This window comes from Homo sapiens, chromosome 2 (assembly GCF_000001405.40).
Source record: "Homo sapiens chromosome 2, GRCh38.p14 Primary Assembly".
NCBI classification, from domain to species: Eukaryota; Metazoa; Chordata; class Mammalia; order Primates; family Hominidae; genus Homo; species Homo sapiens.
In genome coordinates this window covers 232,889,376-232,906,753 of record NC_000002.12, presented here as the reverse complement: position 1 = coordinate 232,906,753, position 17,378 = coordinate 232,889,376, and the positions used below count along the sequence as shown (strand labels likewise).

General features: G+C 55.2%; 1 protein-coding gene across 6 annotated transcripts in view, besides 8 other annotated features; it reads left to right on the top strand.

Annotated features, from left to right (window-relative positions):
- NGEF (neuronal guanine nucleotide exchange factor) overlaps positions 1–17,378 on the top strand; it is a 134,556-nt gene that overhangs the window by 106,503 nt on the left and 10,675 nt on the right. For 4 of the 6 annotated variants that reach the window (NM_019850.3, XM_011510923.4, XM_047443880.1 and 1 more), the window contains 3 exons: positions 11,838–11,998; positions 13,704–13,856; positions 15,267–15,396. In NM_019850.3, the coding sequence (NP_062824.2) occupies positions 11,838–11,998; positions 13,704–13,856; positions 15,267–15,396 (444 nt within the window). Of the gene's footprint in view, positions 1–5,206; positions 5,393–11,837; positions 11,999–13,703; positions 13,857–15,266; positions 15,397–17,378 lie in introns of those variants that run through there. The other 2 variants (XM_011510924.2, XM_011510925.2) reach the window with 2 other exon arrangements.
- Positions 762–1,406: an enhancer, noted in NCBI's record as "H3K27ac-H3K4me1 hESC enhancer chr2:233770058-233770702 (GRCh37/hg19 assembly coordinates)". NCBI's record gives its function as "activates a minimal SCP1, AML or CMV promoter by ChIP-STARR-seq in naive H9 embryonic stem cells {active_cell/tissue: H9 hESC(naive)}" and the evidence as "EXISTENCE:reporter gene assay evidence [ECO:0000049][PMID:30033119]".
- Positions 1,407–2,052: an enhancer, noted in NCBI's record as "H3K27ac hESC enhancer chr2:233769412-233770057 (GRCh37/hg19 assembly coordinates)". NCBI's record gives its function as "activates a minimal SCP1, AML or CMV promoter by ChIP-STARR-seq in naive H9 embryonic stem cells {active_cell/tissue: H9 hESC(naive)}" and the evidence as "EXISTENCE:reporter gene assay evidence [ECO:0000049][PMID:30033119]".
- Positions 4,015–5,214: an enhancer, noted in NCBI's record as "MED14-independent group 3 enhancer chr2:233766250-233767449 (GRCh37/hg19 assembly coordinates)". NCBI's record gives its function as "activates an origin of replication core promoter dependent on BRD2, BRD4, P300/CBP and CDK7 cofactors, and independent of MED14, by STARR-seq in HCT116 cells {active_cell/tissue: HCT116}" and the evidence as "EXISTENCE:reporter gene assay evidence [ECO:0000049][PMID:35650434]".
- Positions 4,015–5,719: a biological region, named in NCBI's record as "MED14-independent group 3 enhancer GRCh37_chr2:233766250-233767449".
- Positions 5,096–5,719: an enhancer, noted in NCBI's record as "NANOG-H3K27ac-H3K4me1 hESC enhancer chr2:233765745-233766368 (GRCh37/hg19 assembly coordinates)". NCBI's record gives its function as "activates a minimal SCP1, AML or CMV promoter by ChIP-STARR-seq in primed H9 embryonic stem cells {active_cell/tissue: H9 hESC(primed)}" and the evidence as "EXISTENCE:reporter gene assay evidence [ECO:0000049][PMID:30033119]".
- Positions 5,720–6,345: an enhancer, noted in NCBI's record as "NANOG-H3K27ac-H3K4me1 hESC enhancer chr2:233765119-233765744 (GRCh37/hg19 assembly coordinates)". NCBI's record gives its function as "activates a minimal SCP1, AML or CMV promoter by ChIP-STARR-seq in primed H9 embryonic stem cells {active_cell/tissue: H9 hESC(primed)}" and the evidence as "EXISTENCE:reporter gene assay evidence [ECO:0000049][PMID:30033119]".
- Positions 14,262–14,870: an enhancer, noted in NCBI's record as "H3K4me1 hESC enhancer chr2:233756594-233757202 (GRCh37/hg19 assembly coordinates)". NCBI's record gives its function as "activates a minimal SCP1, AML or CMV promoter by ChIP-STARR-seq in naive H9 embryonic stem cells {active_cell/tissue: H9 hESC(naive)}" and the evidence as "EXISTENCE:reporter gene assay evidence [ECO:0000049][PMID:30033119]".
- Positions 14,871–15,480: an enhancer, noted in NCBI's record as "H3K4me1 hESC enhancer chr2:233755984-233756593 (GRCh37/hg19 assembly coordinates)". NCBI's record gives its function as "activates a minimal SCP1, AML or CMV promoter by ChIP-STARR-seq in naive H9 embryonic stem cells {active_cell/tissue: H9 hESC(naive)}" and the evidence as "EXISTENCE:reporter gene assay evidence [ECO:0000049][PMID:30033119]".

Below are 17,378 nucleotides of genomic sequence, written 5' to 3'. Positions count from 1 at the left end.
CCACCTTGCCCCCTTTTCTATTCCACAAAACCGCCATTGTCATCATGGCCCGTTCTCAATGAGCTGTTGGGTACACCTCCCAGATGGGGTGGTGGCCGGGCAGAGGGGCTCCTCACTTCCCAGTAGGGGTGGCCGGGCAGAGGGGCTCCTCACTTCCCAGTAGGGGTGGCCGGAGGGAGGTGCCCCTCACCTCCCGGACGGGGCGGCTGACCGGGCGGGGGGCTGACCCCCCCACCTCCCTCCCACACGGGGTGGTGGCCGGGCAGAGGGGCTCCTCACTTCCCAGTAGGGGTGGCCGGAGGGAGGTGCCCCTCACCTCCCAGACGGGGTGGCTGACCGGGCGGGGGGCTGACCCCCCCACCTCCCTCCCGGACGGGGCGGCTGGCCGGGCGGGGGGCTGACCCCCCCCACCTCCCTCCCACACGGGGTGGTGGCCGGGCAGAGGGGCTCCTCACTTCCCAGTAGGGGCTGCCGGGCAGAGGCGCCCCTCACCTCCCGGATGGGGCGGCTGGCCGGGCGGGGGGCTGACCCCCCCCCACCTCCTTCCCGGACGGGGCGGCTGGCCAGGCGGGGGGCTGACCCCCCCACCTCCCTCCCGGACGGGGCGGGTGGCCGGGCGGGGGGCTGAGACCCCCACCTCCCTCCCAGACGGGACGGCTGACCAGGCGGGGGGCTGACCCCCTCACCTCCCTCCCGGACGGGGCGGCTGGCCGGGCGGGGGGCTGACCCCCCCACCTCCCTCCCGGACGGGGCGGCTGGCCGGGCAGAGGGGCTCCTCACTTCCCAGTAGGGGCGGCCAGGCAGAGGTGCCCCTCACCTCCCGGACGGGGCGGCTGGCCGGGCGGGGGGCTGACCCCCCCACCTCCCTCCCGGACGGGGCGGCTGCCGGACGGAGACGCTCCTCACTTCCCAGACGGGGTGGCAGCCGGGCGGAGGGGCTCCTCACTTCTCAGACGGGGCGGCTGCCAGGCGGAGGGTCTCCTCACATCCCAGACAGGGCGGTGGGGCAGAGGCGCTCCCCACATCTCAGACGATGGGCGGCCGGGCGGAGATGCTCTTCACTTCCTAGATGGGATGGCGGCCGGGAAGAGGCGCTCCTCACTTCCCAGGTGGGATGGCGGCCGGGCAGAGACGCTCCTCACTTTCCAGACTGGGCAGCCAGGCAGAGGGGCTCCTCACGTCCCAGACGATGGGCGGCCAGGCAGAGACGCTCCTCACTTCCCAGACGGGGTGGCGGACCGGCAGAGGCTGCAATCTCCGCACTTTGGGGGGCCAAGACAGGCGGCTGGGAGGTGGAGGTTGTAGCGAGCCGAGATCACGCCACTGCACTCCAGCCTGGGCACCATTGAGCACTGAGTTAACGAGACTCCGTCTGCAATCCTGGCACCTCGGGAGGCCGAGGCTGGCGGATCACTCGCGGTTAGGAGCTGGAGACCAGCCCGGCCAACACAGCGAAACCCCGTTTCCACCAAAAAAATACGAAAACCAGTCAGGCGTGGCGGCGCGCGCCTGCAATCGCAGGCACTCGGCAGGCTGAGGCAGGACAATCAGGCAGGGAGGTTGCAGTGAGCCGAGATGGCAGCAGGACAGTCCAGCTTTGGCTCGGCATGAGAGGGAGACCGTGGAAAGGGGAGAGGAGAGGTGAGAGGTGAGAGGAGAGAGAGGGGAGAGGGGAGAGGGGAGAGGAGAGAGGAGAGAGCTGTTTTCCTCCTTTTAAAGTAAAAATTATCTAGCTGAAATGGGAAAGAGTTCCTGCATAGGACTTTCTCAGCTTATTAATAGTTTGTTGTTTTTGTTTGTTTTTTTATTTAGAGACAAGGTCTCACTCTGTGGCCCAGGCGGGAGTGCAGTGGTGCGATCACAGCTCACTGAAGCCTTGAACTCCTGGGCTCAAGCTGTCCTGCCTCAGCCTCTCAAGTAGCTGCAACTACAGGTGTGCACCACCACTCCAGGCTAATCTTTAAAAATTTTTTGAAGAGATGGGGTCTTGCTGTTTCGCCTGGGCTATTCTCCAACTCCTGGGCTCAAGCAATCCTCCTGCCTCAGCCTCCCAAAGTGCTGGGATTATAGGTGTGAGCCACCATGCTAGGCCTCAGTTTTTGTTTTTTAATTTGTCCTGAAGCACTTGGTCCCACCCTTCTGGGATAGTGTTTTAGTTACTGTTTGAGAACCCAACAATTGGAGGAAATAATTAGGCATAGATTCAAATTAAAAGGTTGGGAAGGGGCTGGGTGTGGTGGCTCACGCCTGTACTCCCAGCACTTTGGGAGACCAAAGCAGGTGGATCACCTGAGGTCAGGAGTTCGAGACCAGCCTGGCCAACATGCTGAAACCTTGTCTCTACTAAAAATACAAAAATTAGCCTGCCATGGTGGCACATGCCTGTAGTTCCAGCTACTCGGGAGGCTGAGGCAGGAGAATCACTTGAACCCAGGAGGCAGAGCTAGAGAAAGATGGACTTGCCACGGTCCCTGGTCTTGGTGGGCTGGGCGTGGAGCTGGAATGATGTGAGGCTCTCCAGGGGAGCAGGGACACACACTCATATATGCACAGCCTGCCCAGGCTGTGGGGTGTGGCTCGGTCCCCCCATGCCCAGACAGGACTAATGGCTTTGTCCTGCTGGGGAGCGAGAAGCAAGGGGCCCTGTGGTCACCTGATGCAGCCTAACCACAGGGCGGCGAATTGTCTTTTCTTTCGGTAGATGCTGGGTCTTGCTGTGTTGCCTGGACTGTAATTTTTACAGCTGTAAGTTGCGATGCAGCTCAGTCTGCATCTGTACAGCCTCTGACATACAGAGTTGTATTTTTGTTGTTTTCCAGCCTGTTTCACAACTTAAGCGTGTTTACTTTCCCCACTCCCAAAAGAAAATTGTGCATTTTAGAAAGAAATTACTTAGGATTTTAATATGATGGACCTCTATCCAAAAAATTACATTGTGATCATTCTTTAATTTACCAACTGTTACTGAATTATATATTTTTCTGTTTAGATTAAACCCTCAACAATTCAGCAGATGAGTCCTACAGTGGGAGACGGCAGGGAGTTTTTCTTGATGCTTTGAGGTGGACGTGGCCATTACCTAAAACGTCAGCTAGGCGTTAGAAAGCAAATACCAATACCTGTTTTAACAAAGTAGCAAAGTAGGCAGGTAGCATTTTTTTAAATTTATCTTTTGGTTAAAAAATGTATGCACCTGACAGGAAGTTCAAAAGGTGCAAAAGGACTCTCAGTGAAAGTCTTTCTCCCACTCCTGTCCTGGGCCACCCAGTTCCCTCGTCAGACACATATTCAGGTGTGTGTGTGTGTGTGTGTGTGTGCCCTCATGTCACACAAATGTAAACTAGTATTAAAATACTGACCATATCTTTCCATCTCCATCCAAATAGAGCACCCTCATTTTTGCAGTTTTCTGGGCTCCACTGTTTAGATGTTCCATAATGTATTTAACCTGTCCCTGTTGATGGATATTTGCAGTTGGAAATACCGGGTACTGAGAGTGTTCATTGCAGCATTATTTATACTCATGGAAGATTGAACATCTACACAGTGGAATGCTAAGGGAATTGCTAAGTGGGATTGTTGGGTGAAAGGTTAAATGTTCTTTAAATTTTGAGAGGGTATCGCCTAATTGCCTTCACACACTAGCCACATATGAGTGTGCTGGTCCCCTGCCACTAATGTGGTGCCTTACCCAGCTATTTTCTCTTTACCCAGTGTGCTAGATTAAACATTTTTTGTTTTGTTTTGTTTTTGTTTTGTTTTAAGACAGTCTCACTCTGTCACTTATGCTGGAGTGCAGTGGCGCGATCTCAGCTCACTGCAACCTCCACCTCCCAGGTTCAAGTGATTCTTCCACCTGAGCCTCCCAAGTAGCTGGGATTACAGACACCGGCCACCATGCCTGGCTAATCTTTTGTATTTTTAGTAGAGACGGGGTTTCACCATGTTGGCCATCGAACTCCTGGCCTCAGGTGATCCACCCGCCTGGGCCTCCCAAAGTATTGGGATTACAGGTGTGAGCCACCGCACCCGGCCTCGTTGTGGTTTTAACATAACATTTCTCTTGCCATGAGGCAGGCTGAACATGTTCTCAAGCATGTGTCTTTTTAAATTTACACACACTTATTTTAGCATGTAAACATTTTTGCGAATGATTTTATTAACAGGTCATCTTGAGAAAACGTAGTAATTGGCATTTGTGATGTGTGTGAGTGCCGAGGCTTGGGTTTGGGCCCCCAGCGCCTGCATCCCATGGCTGCGTTGAATATGTGACTCCCCTCGTCCCTTAGCAACCCAAGGGGTTAGCTGTCACTCCCCCATCAGACAGCCAAGCCCCCACTCCCCACGCTGCTCACGGGACCTGCTCAGTCCGGCCTCGAATTCACTAAAGACTGCGCTGCAGCGGGCTGGGCTCGGGCTCTGGCTCTGGAGTCCGACTTCATCATCATTGTCTGCAGAAGGAGGATAGCCTTTGAGGGGTTTCTTCTTAACTGGAAGCCTTTTAAAGTCACTTCCGTGCATCCTGATGCCTGCAGTGTAAATGACTGCACCAGCAGCAGGCACCGAGGCAACTTTGTGACCTTGCTGTTGAGTCATCCTGGGGAACAGAGGATGTGAATCACCCCAGGGCGGCTGCAGCAAGAGGACTCTGTGGGGCAGGAGCAGAGAGTGGAGAGCTTGGGAGCGCCCTGCGCCCCTGGCTCTGGCTCTGGCCCCAGCTGCTAGAGGAGAGAGAGGAGTGGGCCATGGTGATCCCCGTACCACACACACCCCAGCCACTGCCCTGCCGAGGACAGACTGAGGCCGGGTCTTCAGCGGCCCAGGTGGCCCTGATAGCTCCCAGCAGCATACTGGAGACACGGAGCCTGGATGGTAGGGCCTGTGCTGAGGTGTCACGGCGACGTCCCCACAGCCTCTAAGGGAGTCCCGGAAGGACGCCTTAGACCCTTGGCATTCTGCCTGGCCTTCTCTTCATCCCCTCCCTCCCTCCAGGCAAAAGCCAGTGAACTAAGTTGGGCTCCAGGCCAGTGCCCTGATGCCCAGGACTGGGGGTGACCTGTGTGGGGAGGGCCTGGCACACGGGTGGATGGGAAGGGACCTCGCAGAACCCTTGTGGGGAAGGGGCTACGTTTTGTTTCCTGGCCGTGAGGAAGGTGGAGGGCAGCCAGTGAGCCCGCCCTTCAGTCCACGGTCTGCTGGCCTTTGGCTCCGACCCCCGCAGATGTCACCCTGGTGACGCAGCTGCAACAACGCATCGAAGGTCACAGCATCAGAGACAGCAGTGATTTGTTAACACAGGGGTCGGGAGAAGCCAAAAAAACAACCCAAATCAGGCTGGAATGCACGGCCCAGAGGTCCACGGCGAACCCTGGATCATAAGGAGACCGTGTAGGTAAAGAGCGGGGAGGAGAAATCGCGCAGCCTCGAGCTTTGCTGAGGGTGGGGAACGCAGGGTTGATCCGAGTGCGGAGGCAGGAGTGGGACTCCGAGGACAGACACTGTAGTCCCGGCCGGCCAGGCAGCATGGCCCATGTTTGACCGTGAACTGCAGGACAAGCTGAACTGCCTTAAGTAACAGGGAATTGGGGCCCGCGGGCTGCGTAAAAGCCCGTCGCTCTTTGGGTGTTAGAGCTGGTAAAGCTTCCGCCTTTCTCCATCAGGAGCAGGTTGGCTTCCTGCAGACTTTTCTTGGTGTCCTGGTTCCTCTTTTGTGACCTCTTGCTGATGGGTCTCTTTTGTTTTTCAAATGTGTGACTTGAACAGGGTGGTGTAGGCGGCCCTAACTCCGGGACCTGGCTGATCTGAGGCCGCCGGACGTCACCACCCCAGAGCAGCCCCGTGGCCCGCGCTGCCTGAGAGGGGGCCTGCTCACCTGGCTTCAGGTCCTGGTCCTGGCCCCACGGGCAGCGTGGCTCCCAGTGCCTCTGTGGGTGATTGTGTGAGAGCATGTGTGTGTGTGAGTGAATGTGTGCATGAGTGTGAGAGCGTGTGTGTGTGAGTGAATGTGAGTGAACGTGTATATGAGTGACTGAGAGCGTGTGTGTGAATGTGAGTGAACGTGTATATGAGTGACTGAGAGCGTGTGTGTGTGAGTGAATGTGAGTGAACGTGTATATGAGTGACTGTGAGAGCGTGTGTGTATGTGAGTGAACGTGTATATGAGTGACTGTGAGAGCGTGTGTGTGAGTGAATGTGAGTGAACGTGTATATGAGTGACTGTGAGAGCATGTGTCTAAGTGAATGTGAGTGAACGTGTATATGAGTGACTGTGAGAGCGTGTGTGTGAGTGAATGTGAGTGAACGTGTATATGAGTGACTGTGAGAGCATGTAAGTGAATGTGAGTGAACGTGTATATGAGTGACTGTGAGAGCGTGTGTGTGTAAGTGAATGTGAGTGAACGTGTATGAGTGACTGTGAGAGCGTGTGTGAGTGAATGTGAGTGAACGTGTATATGAGTGACTGAGAGCGTGTGTGTGTGAATGTGAGTGAACGTGTATATGAGTGACTGAGAGCGTGTGTGTGTGAATGTGAGTGAACGTGTATATGAGTGACTGTGAGAGCGTGTGTGTGAATGTGAGTGAACGTGTATATGAGTGACTGTGAGCGTGTGTGTGTGAGAATGTGAGTGAACGTGTATATGAGTGACTGAGAGCATGTGTCTAAGTGAATGTGAGTGAACGTGTATATGAGTGACTGTGAGAGCGTGTGTGTGTGAGTGAATGTGAGTGAACGTGTATATGAGTGACTGTGAGAGCGTGTGTGAGTGAATGAGTGAATGTGTATATGAGTGACTGTGAGAGCATGTGTGTAAGTGAATGTGAGTGAACGTGTATATGAGTGACTGTGAGAGCATGTGTGTGAATGTGAGTGAACGTGTATATGAGTGACTGTGAGAGCGTGTGTGTGTGAGTGAATGTGAGTGAACGTGTATATGAGTGACTGAGAGCGTGTGTGTGAGTGAATGTGAGTGAACGTGTATATGAGTGACTGTGAGAGCACGTGTGTAAGTGAATGTGAGTGAACGTGTATATGAGTGACTGAGAGCGTGTGTGAGTGAATGTGTGTATGAGTGACTGTGAGAGCATGTGTGAGTGAATGTGAGTGAACGTGTATATGAGTGACTGTGAGAGCATGTGTGTGTGAGTGAATGTGAGTGAACGTGTATATGAGTGACTGTGAGAGCATGTGTGTAAGTGAATGTGAGTGAACATGTATATGAGTGACTGTGAGAGCATGTGTGTGAAAACCAAAGGAGACCCCTGACCCATCAGCAAGAGATCACAAAAGAGGAGCCTGAAGAAAGCCCAGGCTGGACCGGAGTTGAATCTTCACAAGGAATCCAGGCCAGGAATGGGCTTAGGAAAGCCAGGAAGTGTGACGTGAATACTGGCAGATAGCAACAGAGCTGAGAGCGCCATTCCCAGACCAAGCAGAGATTCAGACAGCCGGGTCCAGGCTACATGCGCATTCCCTGAGGAGGAGCTTCTGTAGTGACACGTACGTTCACACGCCCCCCTCATATGCACACATTCACACACACAGTCACATACTCTCATTCACACACATTCACACTCACCTTCATACACATTCACCCACTGTCACACACTCTCATACTCTTTCACACACATGCACACATTCACACCCACCTTCATACATACTCATTTACACATTCACACACAATGCATTTACACACACATCCACACATCCACACCCACCCTCATATTCACTCACACATGTTAACACACATACACCCATTCACACTCACATTCACACACACACATGCATTCACACACACATTCACTTACATGCTCTCACAGCCACACCCATATACACATTCACCCACAATTTCCCACACATGCACTCTCATTCCTTAATGCTCACACCCTGACTCGCGTATGTCTATGCACACATACACTCATTCCCACTCGCCCTCACAGGCTCACACTTCCTTCCACTACCCTGGGACGAAAGTGCCATGGGAAGCCAGTCTTGCTGTGTTCACAGCCGAGTGCCCAGTGCCTAGACCAGTGCCTGGTGCTCAGCAGATGCTCAGTGAGCATTTGTGGAACGAAGGAACGAACGAGTGAATGAATGAAGAGCGAGCAGAGCCTGGATCCCTCGTCAGCTCTATGCTGCCATGTAGAGGCTTAAATGAGAGCAAAAGTAATATCGATAAGGAAAAGATAGCCATATCGACATGACAAACAATTTGACATACAAAATGAAGACAAACATCCTGGAAGCTAAAATTCACAGGTGACGTTGCCTGTAAATGGATGAGGAGGGGTGAGAGTTCTGGGGAATGAGCCTCAGCCATACCGATTAGCAGGGATTCAGGCCAAGGCCCACAGCTGAAAGGCCCTACCTGCCATTTCCCCTGGCCCTGAAGATCAGGACAGAGATGCTGTCGGCCAGAAGATCCGGGTGATCCAGAGCCAGGGTGTCATCCCAGGTGTCTCTAGCAGGCATCCTTCAGGGCCATGTGGTTTAATGGCATGCTTTTCTGTGATGTGGCGCTGTGGGCATGGGGGTTTTCCCCTTGGTATCATTCGTATCAGTTTTGTGAGTTATGTTTGCTTGGAACTTGTGAGCTGTAACTGCTTCACATTTTCTTAGGAAACTTAAATTTAGCAGCAGGAAAATGAATTCATAACAGCATCTGTAGCTGAGAAGCTTCTGGGAAACTGGCTGCCCGTCATAGCCTCACTTTTGTGTCGGTGGACACTGGCCGACTCGGGGTCTGCTGCCAGTCAGCGCTGGGCTGCAGGTCTGCTGCTGTGAGGCCCGCTGCTGTGTGCTTGCTGTGGCTGCTTTTTAGGTAGATGAGGCAGATGCGACGTGGGGATGGCCACGGAGAGGCCACAGGCTCATTTCAGCGTCTCGTCTCTGACCGTCGCTGTCTCAAGTGAGGTGCTGCTGTGTGCTTGCTGTGGCTGCTTTTTAGGTAGATGAGGCAGATGCGACGTGGGGATGGCCACGGAGAGGCCACAGGCTCATTTCAGCGTCTCATCTCTGACTGTCACTGTCTCAAGTGAGGTGCAGACACTGGGGGCCGGGTGGGCCCTGGCTACTGATGGTGGTTCGGGGTCTGCAGTTGGCCGCTGGCCCTGGAGTGACATCAATGTGAACTCTCTGTGGGGTGTTCCCAGCTTCCAGATTCGTCCCTTATTTTAGAGTGCTCTGCCAGGTGGGTGGGTGGGCAGAGCTTTGCAGGGAAGCAGCAGTGAGAGCTCCTGCAGGCGGGCATCAAATGCCCAGCAAACCCCTGCGCTACCTGGGAGGTGGCAGCATCTCCACTCCTCCAGCATCCAGCCATGTGACTTTCTGGATGCAACTTCACTTCTCTGTGTCTGTTTCCTTTTGGTAAAATGGGAGCTTCTGTCTGTCCTTTCTGGGGGACCTGGGAGGATTAAGTGAAACAGCCTGCAAAACCCCACCACTCCAGGGCCCACTGTGTTCTGGGAACAAATGCCTCTAACCCTGGAGCTCCTGCTTTCATGCCAAAGCCCTGGGCCCTGGGTCAGGGCTCTGATGAGTGGAGAAACCGGAGGGCGGCCCTAAAAGGAGTGAGGCAGGGGATGGGCAGGACCCTGGGGAAGGGGCCAGACCCCCACCTCCACCCCCTACCCCATCCCTACCCTCACCCCTTCCCCCACCCCATCCCAACCCTCACCCCTCACCCCACCCCTACTCCCACCCTTACCCCTAACCTCACCCCCACTCCTACCCCCACACTCGCCCCTACCCTCACCCGCACCCCTACCTCACCCTTAACCCCACCACTACCCCCATCCTCACCTGTACCCTCACCCTCACCCCTACCCTCACCTCATCCCTACCTTTACCCTTACCCCCACCCTCACACCTACCCACACCCTCACCCCTATACCCACCGTCACCCTCACCCCCACCCTCAACCCTACCCTCACCCTTACCCCTACCCTCACCCCTACCTTCACCCTCACCCCTACCTTCACCCACGCCCCTAACCTCACCCTCACCCCTACCTTCACCCTCACCCCTACTTTTGCACTCACCCCTACCCCCACCCCTACCCCCACCCCCATCCCTACCCCCACCCCCACCCCTACCCCCACCCCAACCCCTACCCTCACCCCCACTCCTACCCTCAACCCCAACCTTACCCTCACACCCCTACCCTCACCCTCACCCCTACCTTCACCCTCACCCCTACCCCACCCTCACCCCTACCCTCACCCCCACCCTCACCCTTACCCCAGGCTCCTCACTGCTCTGTTTCCACCCCTCCTCTGTGGCCATAACAAATTACCAGAAACTGGGTGGCAGAGGATCACAGGATTGATTCTCCCACAGCCTGGGCAGGCTGTGCTCCCTCTGACAGCTCTGCAGAGGATCCTTCTGGCCAACTCCAACTGCTGGTGGCTGTATCAGTCCCATCTCTGTCTGTGCCTTCTCTGTGTGTCTGTGTCACATTATTAAATCTCCCTTGGCCTCTTTTATAAAGACACCCATTATTGGTTTGGGGCCAACCTTAACCCAGGATGATCTCATCTTGAGCTCCTTGACTCAATTATGTCTGCACAGACCCTTTTCCCAAATAAGGTCCCATTCACAGGTGCTGGGGTTAGGACATGGATGTAGCTTCTGTGGGGGCCACAGTTCAACCCACTCTGCTGTCCCTCCTGGGAAGCGACTGTGGGACCTGAACCCGCCCTAAGTATCAGAGGGTGACGGGGAAGAGGAAGGTGGGTCATTGGGTTGATTTGTAAACAAGGGAGGAAGGTGAGCCGGGATCTGCCACCTGCCCTTACAGAATGACCCATGAGATGCAGAACTGCTGTTAGATCCTAGTCAGCTATTCAGAGGCTCAGCAATCAGGTGATAATCATGACATCGAATAAAGGCACCTCCAGAAAATTGATCAGGTTATGGATTTCTTTCTCTCTTCCAAAATGAAAATCACCTTATTGGTTCCATTATAAAATCAGACCATGATATATGTTCATTGTTAAATTATCAGGCGATTCAAAAGGTAAAAAGGTAAACATCCCCCCAGATTCCACCCGTGACACTCGTGCTTGACACTGGCCGGTTTCCCCTGACGCTTTTCTGCTGGGCGTGGAGGAACAGGATTCCTCCCACCTGCTGACTTTCGCACCCACTAGCACACCCAGAGCATGGGCCAAGCCACCCTTGGCAGCTGTGCGGGCTCAGGTGTGTGGCTGACCTTTTTTTTTTTTTTTTAAGACAGAGTCTCACTCTGTCACCCAGGCTGGAGTGCAGTGGCGTGATCTGGGCTCACTGCAACCTCTGCCTCCCAGGTTCAAGTGATTCTCATGCCTCAGCCTCCCAAGCAGCTAGGATTACAGGCATGTGCTACCACACCCAGCTAAGTTTTGTATTTTTAGTAGAGACAGGGTTTTACCATGTTGGCCAGGGTGGTCTTGAACTCCTGACCTCAAGTGATCTGCCCGCCTCGGCCTCCTAAAGTGCTGGGATTACAAGAGTGAGTCACCACGCCCAGCCTGACCTCTCTCGTTTTTGTCTTGTTTCATATTTTGGATCTTAGGCTATCTCCAGTTGTCAGTATGGTAAGTGTTCTCTCACAGGGAGTAGCCTCCGTGCCCTGTCACCTTAGGGGTAGTGTGCTCCCTAGGAAGAGTGGCCTCACTACCATTCCCGGCCGCAGGTGTTACCAGCTGCCCCTGCAGCAGCCATCCCAGGCCCCAGGAGCAGGCGATTTTTCCCTTTCAACTCCCTGCTGAGCCTCCCTCTGCTCCTCTGTCTCAGCCAAGGCTAGCGCCTTCGTGGAAGGCCAACTTCAGGCGGTAACCATGGGGTCTCCCTGCTACAGGCCATGTTCGAGCTGGTCACTTCCGAGGCGTCCTACTACAAGAGTCTGAACCTGCTCGTGTCCCACTTCATGGAGAACGAGCGGATAAGGAAGATCCTGCACCCGTCCGAGGCGCACATCCTCTTCTCCAACGTCCTGGACGTGCTGGCTGTCAGTGAGCGGTGAGGACGGGGGGGACAGCCACCTCCCTCAGGGCCCTTCTTCATCCCCAGGGCACATGCTTGAGACACTGATGACAAGTGCTCGATACTGGCTTCTCTACTTCCAGATGTTTGGAATGTTCCATAATAAAATATAAATAAATGAAGAACTAAATCCAAACCTCACCACCCCTTCTGGCAGGGTGGCCAGTCACGTCCCCCGGCGTCCCTTCCCATGAGCACCTGTGCCCCACACAAAGCTCTGCGCTGAGCATCCTGCTGGCCCCAGGTTGGAGTGACGCTGAGTCCAGCTCTCTCATGCATCAAACCGGTGGTTGGACAGGTTTAAACCAGGCAGGTCCACGGGAGTCTTGTGACAGGGACAGAAGGTGTCCATGTAAGCTGCTCCTTACCCTAGCAGAAAGCCCCAGTGGCGCATGCAGGGCCTCAGGCCCTGTGCAGGGTGCAGCCCTGGATTCCCACATCCTCACCTCCTGAGTGCGTTTTCCACAGCTCTGGGAGCTGTGCTTCCAGCAGGGACTGTGTGAAGCCTGGGCCGAGCTGCAGCGGAGGAAGAGTAGACAGACATCTGCCCATTGAATCCTTTGAAAAGGAAAGGAACCAAATCATGTGGCCAGGATGAAAGAGCACTTACCATCCCCAGGGCAGGCCATGGAGTTTTGCAGCCAGAAGCCACATGGGGCTCAGCTGGGACAGTGCCTGGTGATCAGATGGGAAACCAAGGTGGGGCCCGGCGCAGCCCCGCTCTGAGCAGTGGGGATCCGCTCAGCATCACATGTGGCACCCTGGGAGCTGCTCACTCTCTGTGGGCCTCCAAGTGGGTCTCTCCTCCACACTGACACTCTCACTTCTGTTTGCAGCCCCCTCACCCCTTCGTGGCAGCGCCTTCTGGTGGGTTTGGGAGGTGATGGCTGACTGGGGCCAGAGTGGCCTGTGAGACCCCTGGGCTTCTGCTGCGGCACTTCTTTTTTATTTTTTTTGAGACAGAGTTTCACTCTTTTTGCCCAGGCTGTAGTGCAATGGTGCGATCTCAACTCATGGCAACCTCCGCCTCCTGGGTTCGAGCGATTCTCCTGCCTCAACCTCCCGAGTAGCTGGGATTACAGGCGTCCACCACCACACTCGGCTAATTTTTTGTATTTTTAGTAGAGACAGGGTTTCACCATGTTGGCCAGGCTGGTCTCGAACTCCTGACCTCAGGTGATCCGCCCGCCTCGGCCTCCCAAAGTGCTGGGATTACAGGCGTGAGCCACTGCGCCTGGCCCTGCCACGGCACTTCTGTCTTATGTATTTGTATTTTACTGTGGAAAATTCCAAACATGCAGAGGTAGATGTCCATGTGCGCTGCTCACCAGCGTCAGCAGTGGTCAGCCCAGGGGCCAGTCCCTACCCCCCAGGGGACCCTTCTGAAGCAGATCCCCATGGTCATCTATTTTATCCTCAAACACATCAGCACATACCTGAAAGATAAGGTCTCTTGGTGCTCCCAGCACCATCAGCCCCGTGAAAACACAGTCATTCTTCAAGATGACCAAATACACCACCAGTGCTCGGTGCCCCTGCCGATGGATCTTGTCGGCCTGTACGCTCACCGTGCACACTGCTATGTCCAATGTCCAAGTCAGGCTCGCATGCTGCCCTTGGTGAGACAATTCCCCACCCTACCCCCCGGGCACCCTCCGCCTCAAGCCGCTGCCTCTCGTAGGTTCCTCCTGGAGCTGGAGCACCGGATGGAGGAGAACATCGTCATCTCTGACGTGTGTGACATTGTGTACCGTTATGCGGCCGACCACTTCTCTGTCTACATCACCTACGTCAGCAATCAGACCTACCAGGAGCGGACCTATAAGCAGCTGCTGTGAGTGTATCCGGCAAGGGGCTCAGGGGCAGGGGGAGGTGCCCGGGGCAGCCATACCAGTGCTGGCCCAGGCTCCTTACACGGTGACACTTCATGGTCCTTTACCTCTGCGTTCCCAAGGTCCACATGAGCCACCGGAGTTGGCCAGGGATACTGGTGACAGTGTCCCAACCCAGCACGTTCTAGGGTGTATTGGTGTCACTAGAGAAACATTAGCCCAGCCAGACCCCAAGAGAATCAGCGTAGCATCCACTGGACCTGGATCCAATGGCTGAGCAGAGCACTGTGCAGTTAGAAAAGAGAGCTTGAGGTCAAGTGAGGTCATGTGGACAATTCAAAGCCCAGGACATCAGAGACGGGGCTTGAACTAGCGACAAGGGCAGGGACAGGATGGGAAGGAGCCTCGGTGGGGCTCCTCCAGCAGCGCCGGGGCATTGATTGCTAATCTGCCCATTTTGTAAACTTTCTCTGAGGTTTAGTTGACAAGGTAATTTTCCAGCCAGCGTGCCTCTTCTGAATTCTGCGCACTGAGGTTCGCACTTCAGTGCCTGGGGTTAGCCAGGGAGGCCGTCTTGGCTCCGCACAGAAGCACCCAGGGAGTTTTCCAGTTGTGGCGTCTGCACATTGCGCCTCACTGGCTTTTCCACCAAGACATGGAGTTCATGGTGCACGTTTCAAGCCTGAGTCTTTGGGCATTTGGATGTTTTAACAGTTGGTGAAGGAAAATTGGAATTGGAGGGAATGAGGATGCAATTTTTGAGGATAAACATTGAGAAGGCAAGCATGTGGCAGATTAGGAATCATTCACAGCACCCAAGAGCCTGCCGCTGTGGCCCCCGCCAGGCCGTGTGAGCACAGAGGCTGAGTGACAGGCTGAGCACCTGTCCCTGCCGTCCCTGCTGTCCCTGCTGTCCCTGCCGTCCCTGCCATCCCTGCTGACATGCATGGGGCCGAGCTCACCTCCAGCTCTCCCAGCCCTCATCAGCGCTGTGGCCCAGCCCACCGCTGAGCCCACCTGTCAGAAATAGTGCAGGCTGTCCTGGTGGTGTCTCTAGCCTGCTGCCCGTTCCTGTCACTACGTGGGTTTACCTTGCCACAGTTTCCCGCTGGGTGAAATCATCTAATTGTGCATCTGATTCACAGACTTGGCCACACAAGGAATCCTTATCCTCCCACACACAGCAGCATATTGTGCCAAGTCTTCAAGGCCAGGCATGTGAAGCCACTATTGTTATTTGACTTTTACGTGAACAGTCTATTTTCCTTTTGAAAAAAAACAAAGAAAGAAATCAACATGTTTTCTGAGCCCGTGGGTCGTCTGGATCCTGGGAGGCTGTGGATGGGGAGGAGGAGTCTCCAGTTCATGCCTCCTGCAGCTCAGAGACCTACTCCACCTGTCTGTGTCCCCAGCCAGGAGAAGGCAGCTTTCCGGGAGCTGATCGCGCAGCTAGAGCTCGACCCCAAGTGCAGGGGGCTGCCCTTCTCCTCCTTCCTCATCCTGCCTTTCCAGAGGATCACACGCCTCAAGCTGTTGGTCCAGGTACAGCCTCCTCCACCTGACCCACAGACGGGGCTTCCCAGGCTTTGCTGTGGTCATTCCCGGGCCCTGTCAGCTTTCTAGGAGGTCTACTGGTTCAACAGATACTAAGCTCCTCCCATGTGTGCCAAGCACGTTCCTGGGCAGTGAGGATGCAGCGCCTGCTCCCAGGGAGCCCATCGCAGAGGGGAGAGACCGAACCATGCACAGCCAGGAAGTGGGCATGGCCCTGGGGACAGCCAAATGGGCCGACACGACAGGGGTGGCTGGCTGGCCACTGCCAGTTGCAGCGATGGGGGCGGGTCAGGAAAGACACGTGACGTGTAAGCTGAGACCTGGCTGACAGGGAGGAGCTGGTGGGGGCAGGTAGAGGAAAGAACATTCCACGCAGAGGGAACCGCTTGTGCAAAGGCCCCAAGACTGCAAGGTTCATGGACAGAAAGGCCAGCAGCGATCTCGGGAACATGACGGGGACGGGAGTGGGTGTGGAGATGGGGACAGAGGCAGTTCCAGGGAAGACATTGGGTCCTGTCCTCAGTGTGATGGGAGTCACCTGATCGGACCCACTTTTAGGAGCTGGCCCTGGCTGCTCCAGAGGGTGACGGAAACGGGGAAGGGGTTACACTGGCCTGTGGGGCTGGGTCGGGGAGTGGGGGCCCGGCAGGGATGTCAGGGAATTGAAATCAGTGACTTGCTGAGAGAAGGACTGAGAGTGATTCCTCGGCTTTTACCTTGAGCAGTTTGGGGGTGTGCAGCCGTTGCTGAGATGGGGACGTCTTGGGGCGGGGAGGGCTCAGGATTCAGGGCAGGATGAACTGAGTTTGAGATGACTTTGGACAGTTCAGTGTCAGAGGTCAGAGTTAAAGGGAGAAGTTGGGCAGGACTCGCTGGCATCAAGGTGGTAATTAACCGAAGAGGCCGCCAAGGAAGGAGAGAAAGGTGCCTGAGACCAAACTCAGGGACGCAGCCAGGCCTGGGAAGGAGCAGCGGTGAGGGAGGTGGAAACCCACAGAGCTGGAGGCATGGGAGACTCAGGGGGATGGGGCTTCCAGAAAAGGGAGGCTCCAGCCAGGCCCAGAGGCAGGCCCAAGACCCCCTCCACCTGACAGGCCCAGTGAGGCAGGACAGAGACCCCCTCCACCTGACAGGCCCAGTGAGGCAGGACAGAGACCCCCTCCACCTGACAGACCCAGAATCAGGACTGAGACTCCCTCCGCCTGACAACCCCAGTGAGACAGGACAGAGACCCCCTTTGCCTGACAACCCAGTGAGGCAGGACCGAGACCCCCTCCACCTGACAGGCCCAGTGAGGCAGGACAGAGACCCCCTCTGCCTGACAGATGCTGGGGCCCTGTCTACTGATGCCCTGGGCAGAGGGAGCCATTGGCAGCTGGGCTGGTGAAGTGGACGGTATAGAGTGCAGCTGTGGCCCTGAGGAGCATGAGCTGAGGGGGACCTGGGAGCCACAGGTAGCAGAGGTCAGAGGTCAGACAGGTGAGAGGCCAAAGACCTAGGGGCAGCTACTCCAGAAAGAGCAGAATTACAGAGAGGAGGCCTGACCCAGGAGGAAAGGGTTTGGGAGCATGAGGCCAAGGAAGCAGTTGTCAGGAGAAGCCCCTGGCCCAGGGCTAATGGAGATACGAACGTGAGGGCAAAGCCGGGATGGCGACCCCAAACCGGAAGACACCTGTGATGAACGCAGTTCCGTGGGAAATATTTTTTTAACTTGGAAAAAGTGAAACAGAAGACAGTAACATTTCCTAATTATGCAGTGAAAAATATTTTAGGACATTTTATAGGGAAAGTGCATATATGAATATATTAAAACCTTAGCTTCTATAAGATGAAAACCAACAGTAAGATTAAAAGCAATGGAAATGCAGTGATTAGGAAATGGTGGAATGGGGACAGCTGGGGTGGGCACTCAGGGAAGGGCTCAGAGAAAGGGGTGGCGGGTCAGGGACCATTCCAGAGAGAACGGCAAG